Source organism: Homo sapiens, chromosome 22 (genome assembly GCF_000001405.40).
Source record: "Homo sapiens chromosome 22, GRCh38.p14 Primary Assembly".
Classification (NCBI taxonomy): domain Eukaryota; kingdom Metazoa; phylum Chordata; class Mammalia; order Primates; family Hominidae; genus Homo; species Homo sapiens.
The window spans coordinates 45,688,931-45,709,156 of NC_000022.11; the positions used below are offsets into that span (position 1 = coordinate 45,688,931).

Here is a 20,226-nt window from a genome sequence, read left to right on the forward strand (position 1 = left end):
AGAGCTCTGGAATGATAGCCAGTGCAGGCAGTACTCCTGGCATGAGAGGCACGCAGAGACTGAGATGCCCAGAGGGTACAACCACAGGTTCATCTTTCTCCCTGGGCATACATTCTTGGTGGAAGAACAGGCACACTTTACATTCTCCCCCTCTCCTTTCTCTCCCATCTATGTAGTTGACTGTAGAAGTTTGGTGTGTGTGTTGTCAGCCTCACTGTGTCTACAGAGTAGATAGTATCCTTGTCCTACAGGAATATTGTTTCTTATAACTGAACTTAGCTACATATTGGGTGACAGAGGACCAGAATATATTCTCTGTCTAGAACATTAAATAAAGATACTCTGTTCTGATTCAGGGTAGATCCATAAGCATGAGCAGTCACTGGAACTGGGATTTGGGTTGTCATGGGTAGTGGAAGTGCTCAGGCCAGAGTGCTTCACTTGGCCTTGTGTCTCTGCCAGTTACTGGCTGAGTGATTTGTGCAAGTTACTTACCATCTCTACTTCACTTACCTTATCTGTAAATGGAGAGGACAGTGTTGGCCTCATAAGGCTGTTGCAGAGACTGAGATAATACATGAGAAGTGACAAGAACAGTGTCTGGTGCATAGTAAGTGCTCAATATGTGTAGATCTTTTATTTGGTGTTGTAAATTAAGGAGCTAAAGCAGATAAACGTAGCGTACCTCCCCACAATAGTAGATAAAAGCAGTTTTCTGAATAGGACATTTGGAAATCATAATCTTTTTTTTCTGATTCGTGATAATTTTATCCTTTTTCAGAGAAACAGCACCCAGGACTATCTTCCAAAGAGTTCTGGATATCCTAAAGAAATCTTCTCATGCTGTTGAGCTTGCCTGCAGAGATCCATCCCAAGTGGAAAACCTGGCTTCCAGTCTGCAGTTAATAACAGAATGCTTCAGGTGTCTTCGCAATGCTTGCATAGAGTGTTCTGTGAACCAGAATTCAATCAGGTAGTTACACACGTACCTTGGATTCTGTTTCTTTGTATATGTGCATGCTGGTTCTGTCATTTGGTTTATCTGTTAGAAGTTGTTTTGGGCTGGGTAAGGTGGCTCATGCCTGTAATCCCAGCATTTTGGGAGGCTGAGGCAGGAGGATTGCTTGAGTCCAGGAGTTCAAGACCGGCCTGGGCAACATGGTGAGACCCTGTCTCTACAAAAAAAATACAAAAAATTAGCTGGACATGGTGGCGCACACCTGTAGTCCCAACTGCTCAGGAGACTGAGGTGGGAGGATTGCTTGGGCCAGGGAGAGGCAGAGGTTGCAGTAATCTGAGATGATGCCATTGCTGCAGGCTGGGCCACATTGTGAGACCCTGTCTCAGGGAAAAAAAAAAAAAAAAAGTTGTTCTGGCATGATAGTATCACCCACTGTTATTGCAGGATTGCCCTTTACATCTGCTGGGAGAGGCCCTCTACAGGCCTTGCCATTGGAGTCTCTCTGACTAGTGTATAAAATAATGGAGTGTGTTTAACATTAGGGGTTAGATTTCTTGTTTGTTTTTATCACATGTTTTGAGGTATTTGGTTCTTCATAGTGTTTTGAAGCTGATTTTGAGTCTTTGTTCCTAGATTTTACCTGCCTAAGTTTATATGCAGTTCTTGACCTCAGGTTGTAAATGTTTTAATTACTTTTAATGTTTTAATTTGTTACTCTTGTGTTTGGACAAGAAGCATATTTTGTAAATTTACAAGATGACCTGTCTTTCCTAAAGATCATGTAAAGTTCCAAGCTCTGCTTCCACCTATTTTATGATGCGCACATTTTTAAAAGTAGTTAAAACATGAGCAGGCGAGCTGTCCAGTGCTCTTCTTTGCTTTTACGTGTTACCGTCTCCTCCCAGAACACAGCATCTTTCTTCTTTGATTTTGTGGAACCTGCTTTTTATTAAAAATTTTTACTTGAAGTCAGAAGCCACAAACAGGATGCTCACTTTCCTTCCTGGACTTGGATGTAGACAGAGCCTCCAGGCTTCCCTGTCACCACTGTGACGGGTAAGCTTGGGCTGGTCCAGAAGCCACTTGAGGGACTCCCTTCGGTTAGACACATATACCCGAGGCTTTGATATGATTAATGAGATTTTTAAGATCAAAGGAGAGAGGGTAAAAAGTGAGTCGTGTAACTTCAATACTAAACCAAACCTGCCATCCATTTGAGGATAAATGGATAGAAACAACAATAATCTTGATAATAATAGTCTACATTCTAAAACATAACTAGTTATATGCTAGAAGCATCTGGCCAGAAGGCTAGTTTCTTTTGTCCTTTTCCAGTCACAAGGTGCTCTAGTGTGATGGGGAAGGAAAGGAGAGCCGTAGAACTAACTTTTGACTGTGGCTGGCAGATACACCTTTGTGCTTGGCTAATCTTGGTGGGGAAGGGAGTGAGCATTCGTTGAGCCTGCCTTCGGCATTGGGCTTTGTCCCAAGGGTTTTGCTTGTAGTATCTTCTTTAATTCTTAGAACAAACTCAAGAAATTTTTTCATTTTTACAAAAGATGAAACTGTAACTTGGAGAGGTTAAATAACTTGTCTGAGAGTCACTTGTTAAGTGAGAGAGGCTGGGAACATTCTCTCCATATCCAGACATCTGACTCTAAAGCTTAAGCTTAACAAGCAGTCTGCCCTTACTGTTCTGAGCTTAAGCTCAAAAGCAGTCTGGGCCAGGCGCGGTGGCTCACGCCTGTAATCCCAACACTTTGGGAGGCCGAGGCGGGTGAATCATGAGGTCAGGAGTTCGAGACCAGCCTGGCCAGCATGGTGAAACCCTGTCTCTACTAAAAATAAAAAATTAGCTGGGTGTGGTGGCACACACCTGTAGTCCCAGCTACTCTGGAGGCTGAGGCAGGAGAATCACTTGAACGGGGAAAGCGGAGGTTGCAGTGAGCCAAGATTGGGCTACTGCACTTCAGCCTGGGCAACAGAGTGAGACTCCGTCTCAAAAAAAAAAATGCAGTCTACCCTTGCTGTCCTGAGCCTTACACACTGGTCTTGTTGTGGATGACTGCTCCATCTTGACCCTGGACAGGTGACTTGGTCTTCCTGAGTATCAGTTTTGTCCTCTGTAAAACTAGGTAAGCAATGTCTTCCAAACAGGCTGGTTATGGGGTGTAAATGAGATTACTTATGTAAATGCCTAATGCACATTGTGTGCTCAGTAAACATTAAATGTTTCTGCCTCTGCCTCAGGAATGAATGTACAACACAAGTTTATGTTAATACTTTCTTTCAAAGCAGTCAATTTTTATTTTCTTTTTTGAGTAATATATGCAAACTATAAAAATTCTAACATTACAAAAATAAATACTATGACAAGTAAGTTATCGGTGGTCTTTTGGTAGGGCCAGCAAAGCAAGGGCTGTGCTGTTTGTGATATCTTTTTATTGCATGCAACTTATGGTTGGGCGGAAATGAAAATGAACATTTAAGGGTGTTAATTTTTCTGCCTCTTCCCTTCTAGGATTGTATTATTATTCACTGTTGATTTTTAAAGGAAAATTTCAACCATTTAGGGCAGCAATTTTCAGAAAAGAATTTTCTAGTTAGAAATACTACAAAGATTCTAGTAAAGACTTTGTGGCCAAGCTTAACTAAGGCCAGTATTTCTGAGCCAGTCAAGATTCAGATTGCAACTAGTACATATTTTTCTGATGTTTTACTTTAAGTCGTTAAAGAGTTCATCAAAAGGTGTGATGCTATTAAAGCCTAGATCTTTTTACATCTTTTGCACTTTGTGTGGACTGGGACTGTTTTTGCCAAGAATGCATGGAATGGGGTAAAATACAATAAAGCAAAGAATCTGAGTCATGGGAAACTTCAGGAAGTACTCAAAGAAAGCTGTTGGAAGCAGTTAGCTCTGCATGTAAATATAACCTCTACTGCTAGGGTTGCTATATTTTTCCTGTAAAGAGCCAGATAATAAATAATTTAGGCTTTGTAATCTCTGTCAGATTTCTCAGCTCTCCCATTGTAGTGCAAAAACAGCCATAGACAATATATGAATGAATGAACATGTCTAATTTTGTCTTTTTTAAAAAACCCAGGAACTTGGATACGATTGGTGTTGCTGTTGATTTGATTCTTCTGTTTCGTGAACTGCGAGTGGAACAGGAATCTCTGTTGACAGGTAGCATGCAATATAATTCATGGATTATTTATATCTTTATAAAGGGTTCAAAACCAGTACTTTGAGTATTAACATCATTCATTGAAACACATGTTCTGTATTTCATGAGATAGGGAAACTTTAATAGTGAATTATTAAAGAATTATAAAGTTGTATCAACTTCCCTTCCTGAATGGCTGAATTTTGTTCCTTTCACATTTGTATGTTGAAGTCTGTCTGTTCCAGTTGCTATAACAAAATGCCTTAGGCTGGGTAGTTTATAAACAACAGAAATGTATTGCTTACAGTTCTGGAGGCTGGAAAGTCCAAGATTAAGGTACCAGCAGATTGGGTGTTTTGCGGGGGCTGCTCTCGTCTTCATAGATGGTGCCTCTTGCTTTGTTCTCCTGTGGTGGAAGGTGGAAGGCAGAAGGCATAAACAAGCTCTCTGGGCCCCTTTTATAAGGGCACTAATCCCATTCACGAGGGCTGCACCATCATGACCTAGTCACTTCCCAAAGGCCCCATCTTATACTAGCAAGTTGGGGATTAGATTTCAGCATAGGAATTTCGGAGGGGCACAGATATTCAGATCATAGCATGGTCCTAACCCCCAATACCCAGAATGTGACTGAATTTGGAGATAGGATCTTTAAAGAGGTAATTAAGGTAAAATGAGGGTATATGACTGGTATCCTTATAGGAAGAGGAAATTAGGACATGGCCATGCTCAGAGTAGAGACCATGTGAAGACACAGGGAGAAGATGACCATCTACAGGCCAAGGAGCGAGACCTCAGAAGAAATCAGCCCTCTCGACACCTTGATCTTGGACCTCCAGCCACCAGAACTGTGTAAAAATAAATGTCTGTTGTTTAAGCCATTCAGTCTGTGGTAAGACTTTTAATATTTATGAATGTGACAGGCCCTGGTCCAGGTTTTGGGTGTGATTCAAACAGTGACCAAAACAGACAAAAAGTGTCTGTCCTTAGAGAACTCACATTCCGTTGAGGGGAACCACATGTTAAGTGTCTAAGTCAAGTATCTAGTGTGATGAAAATGGAACTTAGCTCTGATTGTTAACGGTTGTTGACTTGGGATTAAGAGAAACACCACACTTCTTTAGACTCATTAGTAGAATGGTTTTGGTCTTTGTTCTTCTAGCATCAACATCTTTCCTTTGGACAGTGGTTATTATCTTAACATAATGTTTAAAAAAAAAACGTAGATTTTTAATTTATGATCTCTTTGTGCCAGGAATTGAAATACTTTATGGGTAAACCTAAATTATTTGATAAAAAAATCTTAATGTAGGCTGGGTGCCGTGGCTCATGCCTGTAATTCTAGCACTTGGAGAGGCCAAGGTGGACAGATTGCTTGAGCTCAGGTGTTTGAGACCAGCCTGGGTAACATGGTGAAACCCCGTTTCCAAAAAAATACAAAGGCTGGGTGCAGTGGCTCAAGCCTGTAATCCCAGCACTTTGGGAGGCTGAGGCGGGCGGATCATTTGAGGTCAGGAGTTCAAGACCAGCCTGGCCAACATGGTGAAACCCCCTCTCTACTAAAAATACAAAAATTAGCTGGGTGTGATGGCGCATGCTTGTGATCCCAGCTACTCAGGAGGCTGAGGCAGGAGAGTTGATTGAACCTAGGAGATGGAGGTTGTAGTGAGCCGAGATCGTGCCATTGCACTCCAGCCTGGGTGACAAGAGTGAAATTCTGTCTCGAAAAAAAAAAGAACCGGGCATGGTGGCACACGCCTGTAGTCGCAGCTACTTGGAGGCTGAGGTAGGAAGATTGCTTGAGCCTGGGAGGTGGAAGTTGCAGTGAGCTGAGATCACGCCGCTGCACTCCAGCCTGGGTGACAGAGCAAGACTCTGTCTCAAAAAAAAAAAAAAAAAAAAAAAAAACAAAACCCCAGAAAATTTTAATGTAAATTTCCAGGTGGATAAGTTAGATGTACTAAATTATAGGTTAAATTTTGTTGTTGTTGGCTGGGCGCAGTGGCTCACGCCTGTAATCCCAGCACTTTGGGAGGCTGAAGTGGGCGGATCACGAGGTCAGGAGATCTACCTGGCTAACACGGTGAAACCCCGTCTCTAGTAAAAATACAAAAAATTAGCCGGGCATGGTGGTGGGCACCTGTAGTCCCAGCTACTGGGGAGGCTGAGGCAGGAGAATGGCATGCACCCAGGAGGCAGAGCTTGCAGTGAGCCGAGATTGCCGCCACTGAACTCCAGCCTGGGCGACAGAGCGAGACTCCACCTCAAAAAAAAAAAAAAAAATTGTCATTGTAATAACGTCTTTACCTTATAATTCAATGAATATAACCTTTAAATGAGAAGTCTCCAGTTGCATTTAAAATATTATTTGACTTACAAATTGTTTTATATACAGTTTTAATGCCTGTACTTTGCATATAACATGAGGCATATTTCTTTTTTTTTTTTTGAGATGGAGTCTTACTCTGTCGCCCAGGCTGGAGTGCAGTGGTGCGATATTGGCTCGCTGCAACCACCGCCTTCCCGCCGGGTTCAAGCGATTCTCCTGCCTCAGCCTCCCGAGTAGCTGGGATTACAGGCGCCTGCCGCCGCACTCGGCTGATTTTTTGTATTTTTTTATTAGAGATGGGGTTTCACCTTGGCCAGGCAGGTCTTGAACTCCTGACCTCATAATCTACCCACCTCGGCCTCTCAAAGTGCTGGGATTACAGGCATGAACCACCGCACCTGGCCACGTGAGGCATATTTCTATTGATGTTAATATGTGTGCTTCTCTTGGTAGATAGACAAGAACTAGAGGTGATGGTCTTTTTTCACAGGTGAAATAGGCTAAATTAGCGTGTTAGAGCACTGCCTGGTTTGGTTTAATTTCTGTGATTTCCTAGTGTTTTCATTTTAAACTCAGTTTGCTAGAAATTCTTGGATCTTGCTATTTGATTTTGAAGTATTCCTTTAGGAAATGGTAATTAAAAATTAATTACTTCCTTTAAGAATTTACAGACAAAGTGCATCACCATGTTTTTTTGAGCATCAGTTTTTAAAATAATCTCAAGAAATTGAAAGGATGTAGGATTTAGTTGTGAAATGTTTTTACGATATTATATATTTAAAGATACTTCTGTAGCTCTATTTTATAATAAAAGGGAAGCATCAGTACTCAAAATTGGGGAATTATAAATTAGCAGTAAAGTCCGTGTTTCACAGTGTCACTTGGAAGGGCAGCTATTTTGAGGTCTCTGTGTGGTATAGTAATTGAGAAAGAAAGTTGAGAATGTACTGTGTTTTATAATTGGTGATCCTGATGGGGCGGGCAGTGTGGCGCTCCAGAGCTGCTGTGCTGTGGTGGGCGGAAGGAGGTTTCTCTTTTAATGATATATGCTAAATAAAGAAGCAAAGGGGAAGTGCTGTACAAATGCTGTGATTAAATAACTATTAGAATGGAGCCAGCCCCTCCACCATGTGCTGGATTTCATCGCCACTTGCCCACGCAGAAGCTTTTCTCCTGAAATTATCCCCTTGCTCTCAGGCAGCCTCTGTTTTTTTCCTCTTTACTCCATCATTTTCATCAGCAAGTAATATGCCCTCCCATTTTTCATTTAAAAATATCTTCTTTTGACTCCATGTCCCCGTCAGTCCAGTATCTCGTTTTTCTGCTCTATCCCAAATGTGCTACAAAAGATGTATTTAGTTTTTACAATATATGGTAAAAGATTATTTCATCCTTCACAGGATTACTTTCCACTGAAGCAGGTAGATGACCTAAGAAAAAATTTAACGGAGCAGATATCTGAAACTACTTTTATGAACCAGTTTGTCATTGAGGAGTAAATTGGTTATTTGGTTGTTAGCTTGGCTATTCACTCATATTCACTAGGCAGAGAGGGCAGATTCTTACAGACCTGTTACATGTTAGCTGTATTAAATGTTGTTCTTAATTTAGGTAGTTGCATTTGTATGAGTTTAATTGTTTTTTATTGATGTGAGATTCACATATTGTTAACTATTTTAAAGTGAACAATCGAGTGGCATTTAGTACATCCACAGTATTATGCAACTACCATCTCTACCTAATTAAAAAAAAAATTTTTTTTTTTGAGACGGAGTTTGCTCTCGTTGCCCAGGCTGGAGTGCAGTGGCACAATCTCGGCTCACTACAGTCTCCGCCTCCCAGGTTCAAGCAATTCTCCTGCCTCAGCCTCTTGAGTAGTTGGGATTACAGGCACCCACCACCACGCCTGGCTAATTTTTGTATTTTTAGTAGAGATGGAGTTTCACCACATTGGCCAGGCTGGTCTCGAACTCCTGACTTCAGGTGAACCACCCACCTCGGCCTCCGAAAGTGCTGGAATTACAGGCGTGAGCCGCTGCGTCCGGCCTAAAAATCACCCTAAAAGGATACCGTTTTCATTGAGCAGCTGCTCTCTTTCCGCCTCCCTGTAGCCCCTGGCAACCACTACTTAGCATTCTGTCTCTGTAGATCTACCTACTCTGGATACTTCATATAAATGGAATCATAGAATTAATTATGTGACCTTTGGTGTCTTACTCCTTTCACTTAGCATAATGTTTTTATTTATTTATTTATTTTTTTGAGACAGAGTCTCGCTGTCGCCCAGGCTGGAGTGCAGTGGGGCGATCTCGGCTCACTGCAGGCTCCGCCCCCTGGGGTTCACGCCATTCTCCTGCCTCAGCCTCCCGCACAGCTGGGACTACAGGCGCCCGCCACCACGCCCAGCTAATTTTTTGTATTTTTAGTAGAGACGGGGTTTCACCGTGTTAGCCAGGATGGTCTCGATCTCCTGACCTTGTGATCCGCCCGCCTCGGCCTCCCAAAGTGTTGGGATTACAGGCGTGAGCCACCGCTCCTGGCCTTTAGCATAATGTTTTTAAGGTTCATCCACCTTGTAGTGTGTATCATTACTTCGTTCCTCTTTATGGTGGAATAATACTCCGTTGTTTTGATATATCACATTTTGTTTATCCATTCATTGTTTGTTGGACATTTAGGTTGTTTCCACCTTTTGTCTATCATGAGTCATGCTGTTGTGAACATGCTGGTACATCCAATTGTTTATCTGTTTTTATTTCTTTTGGGTGTATACCTAGGAATAGAATTGCTGGGTCATATGGTAACTCTGCTTACCATTTGAGGAGCTGTCAGACTTTTCCATAGCAGCTGAATCATATGACTTTTCACCGACACCATACGAATGTTCCCATTTCTTGCATCCTTGCTGACTCTTTCTTTCTGTGTTGTAGTCATCCTGGTGGGTGTGAAGTGGGGGTACTTCATTGTGGTTTTGATTTGCATTTCCTAAATGATCACGTACTTATTGGCCGTTTGTAAATCTTCTTTGGAGAAATGTCTATTTGAGTCCTTTGTCCAGTTTTCAATTGGGCTGTTTGTGTCTATTTCTTGTAGAGTTGTAAAGGTTTTCTATACATTGTAGATACTTGGGATAATATTGAATCTATAGATCAATTGGGGAAGAATTGCCATCTTAACACTATTGAGTTTTCAAGTTCATGAATATGGAACATCTCTCTATTTATTCAGGACTTATTTAATTTTTCAGTTGTGTTCCTATTTAGTAGATAGCTTGTGTTTCGCCACAGATGTTATTGGAAGGATATTATTGAGGCAGGAAGGAAAATGGAAAGGAAGTAATATTTCTCATCACCTTGAAAACGGCAGCTAGTGAAATGACCGAATTTTAGTTGGAATTCAGCAATGAAATTTGGATTCAACAGTGAAACTTAGAAAAAATTTTATGGTGTGTTAGTTCAAACCTAATACAAATAATCTTTTAAAAAGTATTCTGGTTCCTAACAAAGCGCCTGTACTTTTTTGACTCTTTCTCTGTGAGAACTTTATTCTAGGTAGATTTTTTAGCAGGGTATGTGTGCCAGTTTTTTGTTACCACACTTGAGGTAAGAACTGTAATTACATTGTCAAAATAATATTTAGAGTATTATTTTCAGGGAATAATTGCAGTGGTATGACGAATATATTATGCCCATCAAATTTTATGTAAACACAAGCATGAGTTATTTTAATTGAGTTATTGGTGTTGTTTTTGGCCTTTATTCTTTCTTACTCTGTAAAAATAATGTTGGGATTTTTGAGGGTCTTCATAACATTTGCAGTATTTACATAAAGATCAGTTGATAAGCTGTTTGGTAAAGTAAACTGTCATTTGTACCTGTCTGGAGTTTTCTTTTCTTGTGTCTGGGACATCTTTAAGCCTTTTCCTTTTCAGAATTGTGTTCTGATCCTGAGCATTAATCTTATGTGCCTGATGAGTTGTTGGATCAGTTGGTTTTCAGATCAACCTATACTGTTGGCTTTTTGCATGTTCAGTTTTATACAGATCTGAGTGTTAATATTCTAAAATATTCAGTAGAAATCTTTTTTTTTTTCTTTTTCTTTCCTTTTTTTTTTTTTTTTTTTGAGACAGGGTCTGGGTCTGTCTCCCCGGCTGGATGCAGTGGCTTAATCTTGGCTCACTGGAACCTCCACCTCCTGGGTTCAAGCAATTCTCCCTGCCTCAGCCTCCTAAGTAGCTGGGATTACAGACGCCTTCCACCACGCCTGGCTAATTTTTGTGTTTTCAGTAGTGACGGGGTTTCATCACGTTGGCCAGGCTGGTCTCGAACTCCTGACCTCAGGTGATCCGCACCCCCCTCGTCTTCCCAGAGTGCTGGGATTACGGGTGTGAGCCACTGCACCCAGGCAATAAGTTAATTAATTTTGTATGTAGAGTATATTGTTTTGGTAAGGCATATTAATTTTTTTTTTTTTTTTTGAGACAGAGTCTCACTCTGTCTCCCAGGCTGGAGTGCAGTGGCGTGATCTTGGCCCACTGCAACCTCTGCCTCCCAGGTTCAAGCAATTCTCATGCCCCAGCCTCCCAAGTAATTTTTTTTACTTTTAGTAGAGATGGGGTTTTGACATATTGGCCAGGCTGGTCTTGAACTCCTGGCCTCAAGTGATCCACCCGCCTTGGCCTCCCAAAGTGCTGGGATTACAGGCGTGAGCCGCCGCTCCCAGCCATGGCATATTCATGTTATTCCCAAAGTGAACTTGTGGAGACAGACTTTAATTTTTAAAAGAAGCAAGCAGAAACTTTCTGTTTAATAACATGGAGAATATTTCTTAAGATGCATTTATTTATTGTGTTTAATCATTTATTTATTTATTTATAACTTTTATATATTCTTAGCTTTTCGCTGTGGCCTGCAGTTTTTAGGCAACATTGCCTCACGGAATGAAGATTCCCAGTCTATTGTTTGGGTGCATGCTTTCCCAGAACTGTTTTTGTGAGTATATTGATAAGCATTTTTCTAACTTGTGAGAAGATTGTGGCTATATTTTTCCATTTTATATAAAGTTCGAAAACAGGAAAAAGTAACCCACTGTAATAGAGTTCAGGATAGTAGTTGTTCTTGGTGGGTGGGTACCAGCTGGGAGAGGGCACTAGGGAAACACCTGGGTCCTGGAAGTGTTCGTCTATATCTTGACCTTGGTGGTGGTTACATGGATGTATACATATCCAAACTTTGTTCATTGAGCTGTATGTACACTTAAGATTTATGCCCTTGATTGTATATCAGTTTACTTTTACAAAAATAAAGTCATGGATAAAGTAAGTAATATTGTTAAGGACACTGAAATTTATAAGAAACACAATTAAAATAGAGCATCAAAGTATGGGCAATGAATTAAAATTGTTTATGTATTGAATACTGATATGCTGAGCACAATGCTGTATGTTTTGGAAGATAAGAAGAAGATGTGGATAAACAATCAGTTTATCCATGTAAGAAGTGAGTAACCAGTCCATTTATCAGTGTAAGATGTGGGTAACCATTCCATTTGTCTCGATTGGATCCTGGTACTTTTTCTGGTGATTCTACTTCTTAAAAACCAGCTCTGTTCATAAGAAATTGAGCATTGAGGTAAAAGGTGAGCAGGGAATAGAGTCAGTATACCTAGTAGGAAAGGCACAGTCTGGGAGTGGGAGACCTGGCTTTGAATCTAGGCTTTGGTGCCAATGAATGGGGTGACTTTGATGGTTGCAACAGTATAAGCAGCACAGCAGGGTAGCAGCTGTTGTGTACATACCCTGAACTGGGCATTATCCGTATATTTTTTCTGTTCTCACAATAGCCTGCAGAGTAAGTGTTACTGTCTCCCCATTTGGACAGATGAGAGACCTGAAGCTCATCACTGGTAAATGGCAGAGGTAGAGTGTAAACCCATTGCTGCCATCTGGATCTAAAGCCTATCTATGCTCATTGTAAATACTGTGCTGCTTAAATTCCGTAATGCCCTTCCTTGTTGTACAGCTTTCCTGGGCTCCTCTGTGAAGTATAGCGTTAAGATGGGATAAACTCTAATTCACCTGTAGCTCATGGAATTTCTCAAATTCCTGCAAATAATTAAGAGTTGAAGGTGTATATATATTAATGTTACATATATTAATGATATTTGAGCTTAGGTGGAAGAAGAGAATTACGAAATTCAAGCTACAGAAATAGGCATTGCTTATTTTTGAGAATTCATTCCCTTAAAACGTTTTGGATACCTAATATCTGCCAGGTTTTGGGATAGATGATTAGAATGTGGTGGTAACTTATATATTCGTTATTCCTGAAGGATTTCATTCTTTGGTTGGGGAAGTAAAGGAACAGGCACATAGGTTGTGATGTAAGAACTAAGGTAATTAGGGCAAATCCAGGGTGTAATAGAAAAACAAGGGAGAGGCTTAAGTGTAGGTCAGTCAGAGAAGTCTTAACAGTTTACATGTTGCTTTTAGATGATCTCATTTGATCGTCATTAAAAACCCTGTGAAATAGAGGTTTTGTTATTGTATTTTATTTTTTATACCAGAAAACATATTAAGAGAGGTTCTTTGCCTTCACTTTTTATGCATTTATGGGACAGATATAACCAAATTTGAATTCCAGTTTTGTCAGGTGCTGGCTTTGTGCTATTGGCCAAGTGAAGCTAACAAATTCTTTATCTGAAATAGATGAATAATACCTCCTTCAGAAGAGTATTATGAAGTTTAAATGAAAAAAAATCCTGCCATATTGCATAACCCATGATATAATTGACAATCAATATGTCAGTGACCTTCCCCAGGTCACCTGGCTGATAGCTAGAGGAGCTAGGAGTTATAGCGAGGCTCCTGACTCCAAATTCTATTTCTTGCCCCACTATACCATCTCTCCTGTAGGCATCTTGTCCCTAAGGACTATTAAAGCAGTGCCAGCAGTCATTGAGGTATCATTTTGTACCTGTCGATTTTTTCTTTCTAACAAGAATGAACATTTTAATGTTTTATAAATGTAATCATTCTAATCTTTTTCTCTAATGGTAAGTTATTTGCCTTTTGCCTTCTGAGTTCTATGTCAACTTCAACTTTAATATTTTGGATACTTTTTATTGTGACTAAGTTTATATTTACTATTTTTACAGTAAATAATCTACTTATTTTAAAGTGCTATAATTCTAAATCCTCAAAAGTATTAGCATGTAGTGAATTTGACAATGGTATTACTGTTATTTTTGTGTTTTATCATGTTACTAAATTGGGCTAACAATCTCATTTCCTTGTTTGGAAGGTCTTGCTTAAATCATCCGGACAAAAAAATTGTTGCCTACTCTTCAATGATTTTGTTTACATCCCTTAATCATGAAAGAATGAAAGAACTGGAGGAGAACCTCAATATTGCAATTGATGTCATAGATGCTTACCAAAAACATCCTGAATCAGAATGGCCGTAAGTATCTTGTTAGAAATTTGATTGCTTTGGGGCATCCTGACAGATCACTTTCCTTGCAGAGGTTTTAAGTAAAAATTTGGACATTGTGATAATTGAACGATAAGTTAAAACTTAACATGTGTTGACAGAATTAGAGAAGATTTTGAGCAGAATCTAGAGAACTTGTGAATGAGGTGAATAAAGTGAGGCTTGAATTGAGCCTTTAAGGACAAAGAGAATTCTTTAAGGTGGTGAGGAGCGGGAAAGACATTCTTGGTGTATGAAAAAACAGTGTGAAATGCCCAGGCACCTTTGGAGTGCACAGATAAGACTGTTGTGGCTGCAGTAGCTAGTTCATTAGATCAGAGGTTGGTGCGAGCCTTGTAAGCATCTGTGCAGATGAGATAGAGACTGCCATTCAAATTGCCCCCCGATACATAATGTACTGCCACCCTTCATACATAATGTGTTATTTCTCTGTGATTGCTTTTAAGATTTTTCTTTGTCTTTTCAGAGGTTAATTATGGTATTGGCATAGATTTCTTTGGGTTTACTCTTTTTGGGGTTTCCTCAACTTCTTGAATCAGTAGATTTATGTCTTTTGCCAAATTGGGGAAGTTAATTTGGAAAATTTTCGCTGTTATTTGTTTGAATACTTTTTTTCAGGCCCTTGTTCTCTCTCCACTTCTTCTGGGACTCCATGTTTTAGGCGCACACACAGTCCAAGGCAGGGCCAAGGCTGTGGCTCAACTGATGGGACTGTGAAAATAATACAAGTTACAACAATCTACTTTTAGGTTTAGACAGTTTGTTACTTATATAGACAGAGAAAAGAAGAAGCCAAAGGGGCCAGCTCCTCCTGATCCTTGTCCCAGACACCACAAAGACCTGGATGATTAGGATATGAATTGTGAGGTATCCCACTCCTGAGGAGGCCTTCTTGACTGTTTAAAGAGGCATTATATGCTAAGAGGGGCAAGGCAGAAAGCTCTGTACCTCATTAGCACCAAACTCATTAGAACCTGTCCCATGACAGCCTCCCCTAGGAGACAGAAGAGCAAAAAGGATACAGCCTCAGAAGCCTCAGGCCCCTCCCATCTCGGGTTCCAGGAGGATCACAAGCTATTCAGCAGGCAAGACTCAGATTAGCCGCTGTTCAAGCTCTGGCATGCATGGTATATATGGATACATCCAAGGTCACCAGGGCACTATGTGGAGCTGTTCCCCTAGACTCTGAAGATACAAGTGTTAGTCTTCTGTTGTTGTTTTGTAAGTGCCTGAGGCTCTGTTCAGTGCTTTTTTTTTTTTTTTCCAGTCCATTTTCTCTCTTTGCCAGTACTACAGTGTCTTGATTACCGTAATTTTATAGTAAATTTTGAAATCAGGAAGTGTGAGTTTTCCAACTTTGTTCTTTTTCAGTTTTGTTGTCCTGGGTCCCTTCTGTTTCCATATTAATTTTAGGATCAACTTTTCAATTTGTTAAAAAAAAAAAACAGCTGGAATTTTGATAAGAATTACATGAATCTGTAGACCACCTTGGGGGAATATTGCCATCTTACCTAGATTAAGTGTTCCAATCCATGAATAGAGGATATTCATTTATTTATTTAGGCCTTTTAAATTTTCGTCAGTTATGTTTTGTAGTTTTTAGTCTATGAGTTTTGGGTGTCGTTAGTTCAGTTTATTCTAAGTATTTTATTCTTTTTGATGGTATTGCAAATGGAAGTCTTTCATTTTTGGATTGTTCATTGCTAATGTGTAGAAATACAACTGATTTTTGTATATTAATCTTATATCCTGCAATCTTTCTTCCTGAACTTATTTATAGTTTTAGTAGATTTTTTTGTGTACGTGATTCTTAGGATTTTTTCTGTACAGGACCGTGCCATCTGCAAGTAGGTAATATTTTTTTCTTTCCAGTTGGGTTGCCTTTTCTTTCTTTTCCTTGCCTAGTTGCCCTGACTGGAAATTCCAATACAATGTTGAGTAGAATTGGTGAGAGCAGACATATGTTTCTTATTTAAGATCTTAGTGGGGCAGTCTTTCAGTGTGCTGTTGCCTGTGGGGTTTTCTAAGAAGCCCTTGCTCAGGATGATAAACTTTTCTTCTACTTCTACTGATTTTCTTTTACTTGTTGAATGTTTTTATTATGAAAGTCTATTTTATCAAATATATTTTGTGTCTGTTGAGATAGTCATATGGCTTTGTCTTTTAGTCTATTAATACTTTGTCTAACAGTGATTTTTATACTTTAAATCAACTTTGGATTCCTGAGATAAATCCTACTTGTTCATAGTGTATAATCCTTTTTATATGTTGCTGGATTCGGTTCATATTTTGTTGGGGATTTTTGAATCTATATTCATAAGGCATATTGGTTTGTAGCTTTTTTTTCTTTTTGTGATTTCTTTTTCTGGTTTTGGTATCAGGTAAATACTGACTTTACAGAATGAGGTCTTGTTTTGTTTTGTTTTTGGAAGACTGTAAAGGATCGGTATTCATCTTTAAATATGTGGTAGAATTCACTGGTGAAGCCATCTGGTCTTGGGCTTTTTATCATGGGAAGGGTTTTGGTTACTAATTCAAACCTGTTACTTGTTACAGGTCTTGGTTTTTTTTTTTGAGACGGAGTCTCACTCTGTTGCCCAGGCTGGAGTGCAGTGGTGCGATCTCGGCTCACTGCAACCTCCGCCTCTTGGGTTCAAGCAATTCTCTGCCTCAGTCTCCTGAATAGCTGGGATTGCAGGTGCCCGCCACCACACCCGGCTAATTTTTTTTGTATTTTTAGTAGAGACGGGGTTTCACCATCTTGGCCAGGTTGGTATTGAACTCCTAATCTCATGAGCCACCTGCCTCAGCCTCCCAAAGTGCTGGGATTACAGGCGTGAGCCACCGCGCCCGGCCTCCACTTGTTACGGGTCTATTCAGATTGTTGTCTTCTTGGGTTGGTTTTGGTAGTTTGTGTCTTTCTAGGAATTTGCCTGTTTGGTCTAGGCCGGGGGTCCTCCAGCCCCCGACCTGTGGACTGGTACCTGTCCATGGCCTGTTAGGAACAGGACCACATAGCACAAGATAAGCAGCAGGCAAGCAAGCATTCCTGCCTGAGCGCCACTTCTTGTCAGATCATCAGCCACATTCGATTCTCTTAGGAGCACAAACCCTGTTGTGAACTGCGCATGCGAGGGATCTAGGTCTCACACTCCTTATGAGAATCTATTACAACTAATGCCTGTTGATCTGAGGTAGAACAGTTTCTTCCTGAAACCGTCCCCCCACCCCTGTCTATGGAAAAATTGTCTTTCATGAAACCAGTCCCTGGTGCCAAAAAGGTTGGGGACCACTGGTCTAGGCTGTCTAATTTGTTGGCACAAATTGTTAATAGACCCTTAGAATTTTTTTATTTTTGTAAGATTGGTAGGAATGTCCCCTCTTCATTCCTGATTTTAGTAATTTGAGTCTTCTCTTTTTTCTTGTTCACTATAGCTAAAGGTTTGTTAGAGTTTTTGCTCTTTTCGGAGAACCAACTTTTGGTTTTGTTGATTTTCTTTACAGTTATTCTCTATTTCATTTCTTTTTGCTGTAATCTTTATTATATTCTTTCTTCTGCGTGCTTTGGGTTTGGTTTGCTCTTCTTTTTCTAGTTTCTCAAGATGGAAGGTTAGGTTACTGATATGAGATCTTCTGTCTTTTTTACATAGGCATTTACATCTACAAATTTCCTGGTAGGAACTACTTTAGCATCCCATAATTTAGGATTCTGTAAATTTTGGTGTTTGTGCTTTTACTTTCATTTATTTCAAATTATAGTCCAATTTCCTTTGTGACCTATTGGTTATTTGGGAGTTTGTTGTTTAATTTCCACATATTTGTTTCTAATTTTATTCCATGTGGCCAGAGAACCCACTTTATATGATTTCATTCTTTTTGACATTACCTAGGCTTCTTTTATGGCCTGACATGTGGTCTGTCATAGAGAATGTTCCATGTACACTTGAATAGAATGTGTATGCTGCTGGTTTTGGTGGCATGTTCTGTAGATATCTATTAGGTCTGGTTGGCTAGATGGTTGATAGTGTTGTTTAAATCTTCTGTTTTCTTGCTGATCTTCTGTTCTAGTTCTTTTCATTATTGAAAGTGAATTATTGTGCATTTTTTCCTTCAGTTCTGTCAGTTTTTGCTTCCCTTATTTTCATGCTCTGTTAAGTACACACACACATGTTTATATTTATTATTGTTATACCTTCTTGATGCATTGACCCTTTCTCATTATAAAATTTATCACAAATTTTGTTGTTTATGTTTTAACAATATCCTGTTTTTTAAAAAATCTATTTTTCCATATCTTTTGCACATAGTAGTCAGTGTGTGATTAGGCCACAGATTTTCTCCAGGGAGTAAGCCTTGAGCACCTGTAATCCCACTTGCATTCACAGGTGAGGTATGAGCTTTTTCAATTTTGGCTTCTTGCAGTGTAATCTTTTATCATTCTATTGAAATTATACCTAATTTTGAAATTATTTCTTTTTCTGAATATTCATTTGTATTTCAATTAAGATTTACAAACAAACAGAAGTTGGTACATACAATAATATGATGTGTTTAACTTAGAAAACTTCCCTTTGTATGCAAATGTAACATGACAGGATCAATCATTAGAGTCAACTTACTTAGAGAAATTTTCTGTAGCTGAGTTCTGTTTTATTTGTTGAGTACCTTGGGTCTGTATTTTAATCATCTGCAGTTTTTTTTTAGCAGCTTGGAATAAAGGGCAAAAGGTCATAAAGGGCAAAATATAAAATCTGTTTAATATAATATAATATGATATAATATAATATAATATATAAATAGCTCAAGTTAAAGGTATTAGAGACCACTAGAAGGAATTCAGAAAGGAACAAAGGATGGATCTAGTAGTGGTTAAATGATCACTTCTGCAGTCCAGGTGCGGAATACTTTGATTTATGTGAGAGGAACTCTACATTTGGTAACAAACAATGAGATCACAGAATATCCAGAGGCTTCTGACGAAATTGTTGTTTTTGCTGTTAAATATAAACTCATCCCTGGAAATTGGAGAAAACCCACTTTCTGCCTTTTTTCTTCCCTACATTTTAGGAGATAGGTGGCAAATAATACAAAACTACATGGTCTTAGAATTCATGGTTTCATTATGTTTTCTTTTCTTCCTTTGCTTGTTTCTTAGAAAAGGGCAAATGTGATTCCAATAACTTTGGGTTTTTTTATTTGAGTATACTAGAGACACAGGAAAGTGTAGGCGAGAAAGTCTTTGGCACTACTTGGTTTGAATTATTGGGATAATGTCTTTCTAAAAATGTCTGTTCTTTTGTTTGTAGGTGTGAAAGATGTTTTCATGCTCTTAGATAACCCTAGATGAATCCAGGGATTCTATTTTGAGTTCATCTAAATCTGAAAGTCCAGTAAATGTGCACTGGTAGGTTAGGTCAGTCAGTGCAGAATTACACAGTAGAGGAAGAGGTAGGACTGCCTCGTGCTGATCCTGTGATGTGTTGGTTGCTTTGTCTGTGTAATCTCATTTTCACATTGCTGCCATCCTGTGAATTGTATTTTGCTACTATGTACCTATGAAAGTTAAGCAGAGTAAACCAGTCTGACAAAGGTCACACAACTAGCATATAGCAGAGGCAGCATTGCAAGTGATGCCAAACTCGAGGGCCTATCCCATTTTTATTAATACCATGTCATGTGTTATGAAAATTACCGATTTTCAGAGAGGAGGTCTGCATTTCAAAGGTGAGGCATGAACTCTTTTCAGTTTTAGCCTCTTTTGGTGTAAACTTTTTCTTTTTGAGACAGAGTCTCACTCTGTTGCCCAGGCTGGAGTGCAGTGGTGTGATCTTGACTCACTGCAACCTCTGCCTCCCGGGTTCAAGTGATTCTCCCATCTCAGCCCCCTGAGTAGCCAGGACTACAGGCGTGCGCCACCACGCCTGGCTAATTTTTTGTATTTTTGGTAGAGATGGGGTTTCATCATGTCAGCCAGCCTGGTCTTGAACTCCTGACCTCAGGTGATCTCCCCGCCTGTCTCCCAAAGTGCTGGGATTACAGGCATGAGCCACCGTGCCCACCTAAACTTTTATTAATCCATTGAACTTTTTACCCAGTTTCACTACAAAAATGAAGTTATAACTGGGAGCAAAGCATTCTTTTTTGTTAGTATTTGGGTTATCTAGTTGATTTATTTTGTATTCTCTAGGGATGTGTCTTGCCTTATGCATGTACATTTTATTATCAGCTTAAGTGTAACAATATTAGGAAGATAAACATAATTGTCCATCCTCTTGCAGT

General features: G+C 39.6%; 1 protein-coding gene across 3 annotated transcripts in view, besides 1 other annotated feature; it reads left to right on the top strand.

Moving 5' to 3' along the window:
* The window catches only part of ATXN10 (ataxin 10), a 173,474-nt gene that overhangs the window by 17,097 nt on the left and 136,151 nt on the right, over positions 1–20,226 (top strand). For 2 of the 3 annotated variants that reach the window (NM_013236.4, XM_047441314.1), the window contains exons 2-5: positions 782–973; positions 4,066–4,148; positions 11,352–11,448; positions 13,759–13,917. In NM_013236.4, coding sequence (NP_037368.1) covers positions 782–973; positions 4,066–4,148; positions 11,352–11,448; positions 13,759–13,917 — 531 coding nt within the window. The remainder of the gene's footprint in view (positions 1–781; positions 974–4,065; positions 4,149–11,351; positions 11,449–13,758; positions 13,918–20,226) is intronic. The other variant, NM_001167621.2, reaches the window with a different exon arrangement.
* Positions 7,492–7,591: an enhancer, noted in NCBI's record as "active region_19229". NCBI's record gives its function as "activates an Ori minimal core promoter by ATAC-STARR-seq in GM12878 lymphoblastoid cells {active_cell/tissue: GM12878}" and the evidence as "EXISTENCE:reporter gene assay evidence [ECO:0000049][PMID:35858748]".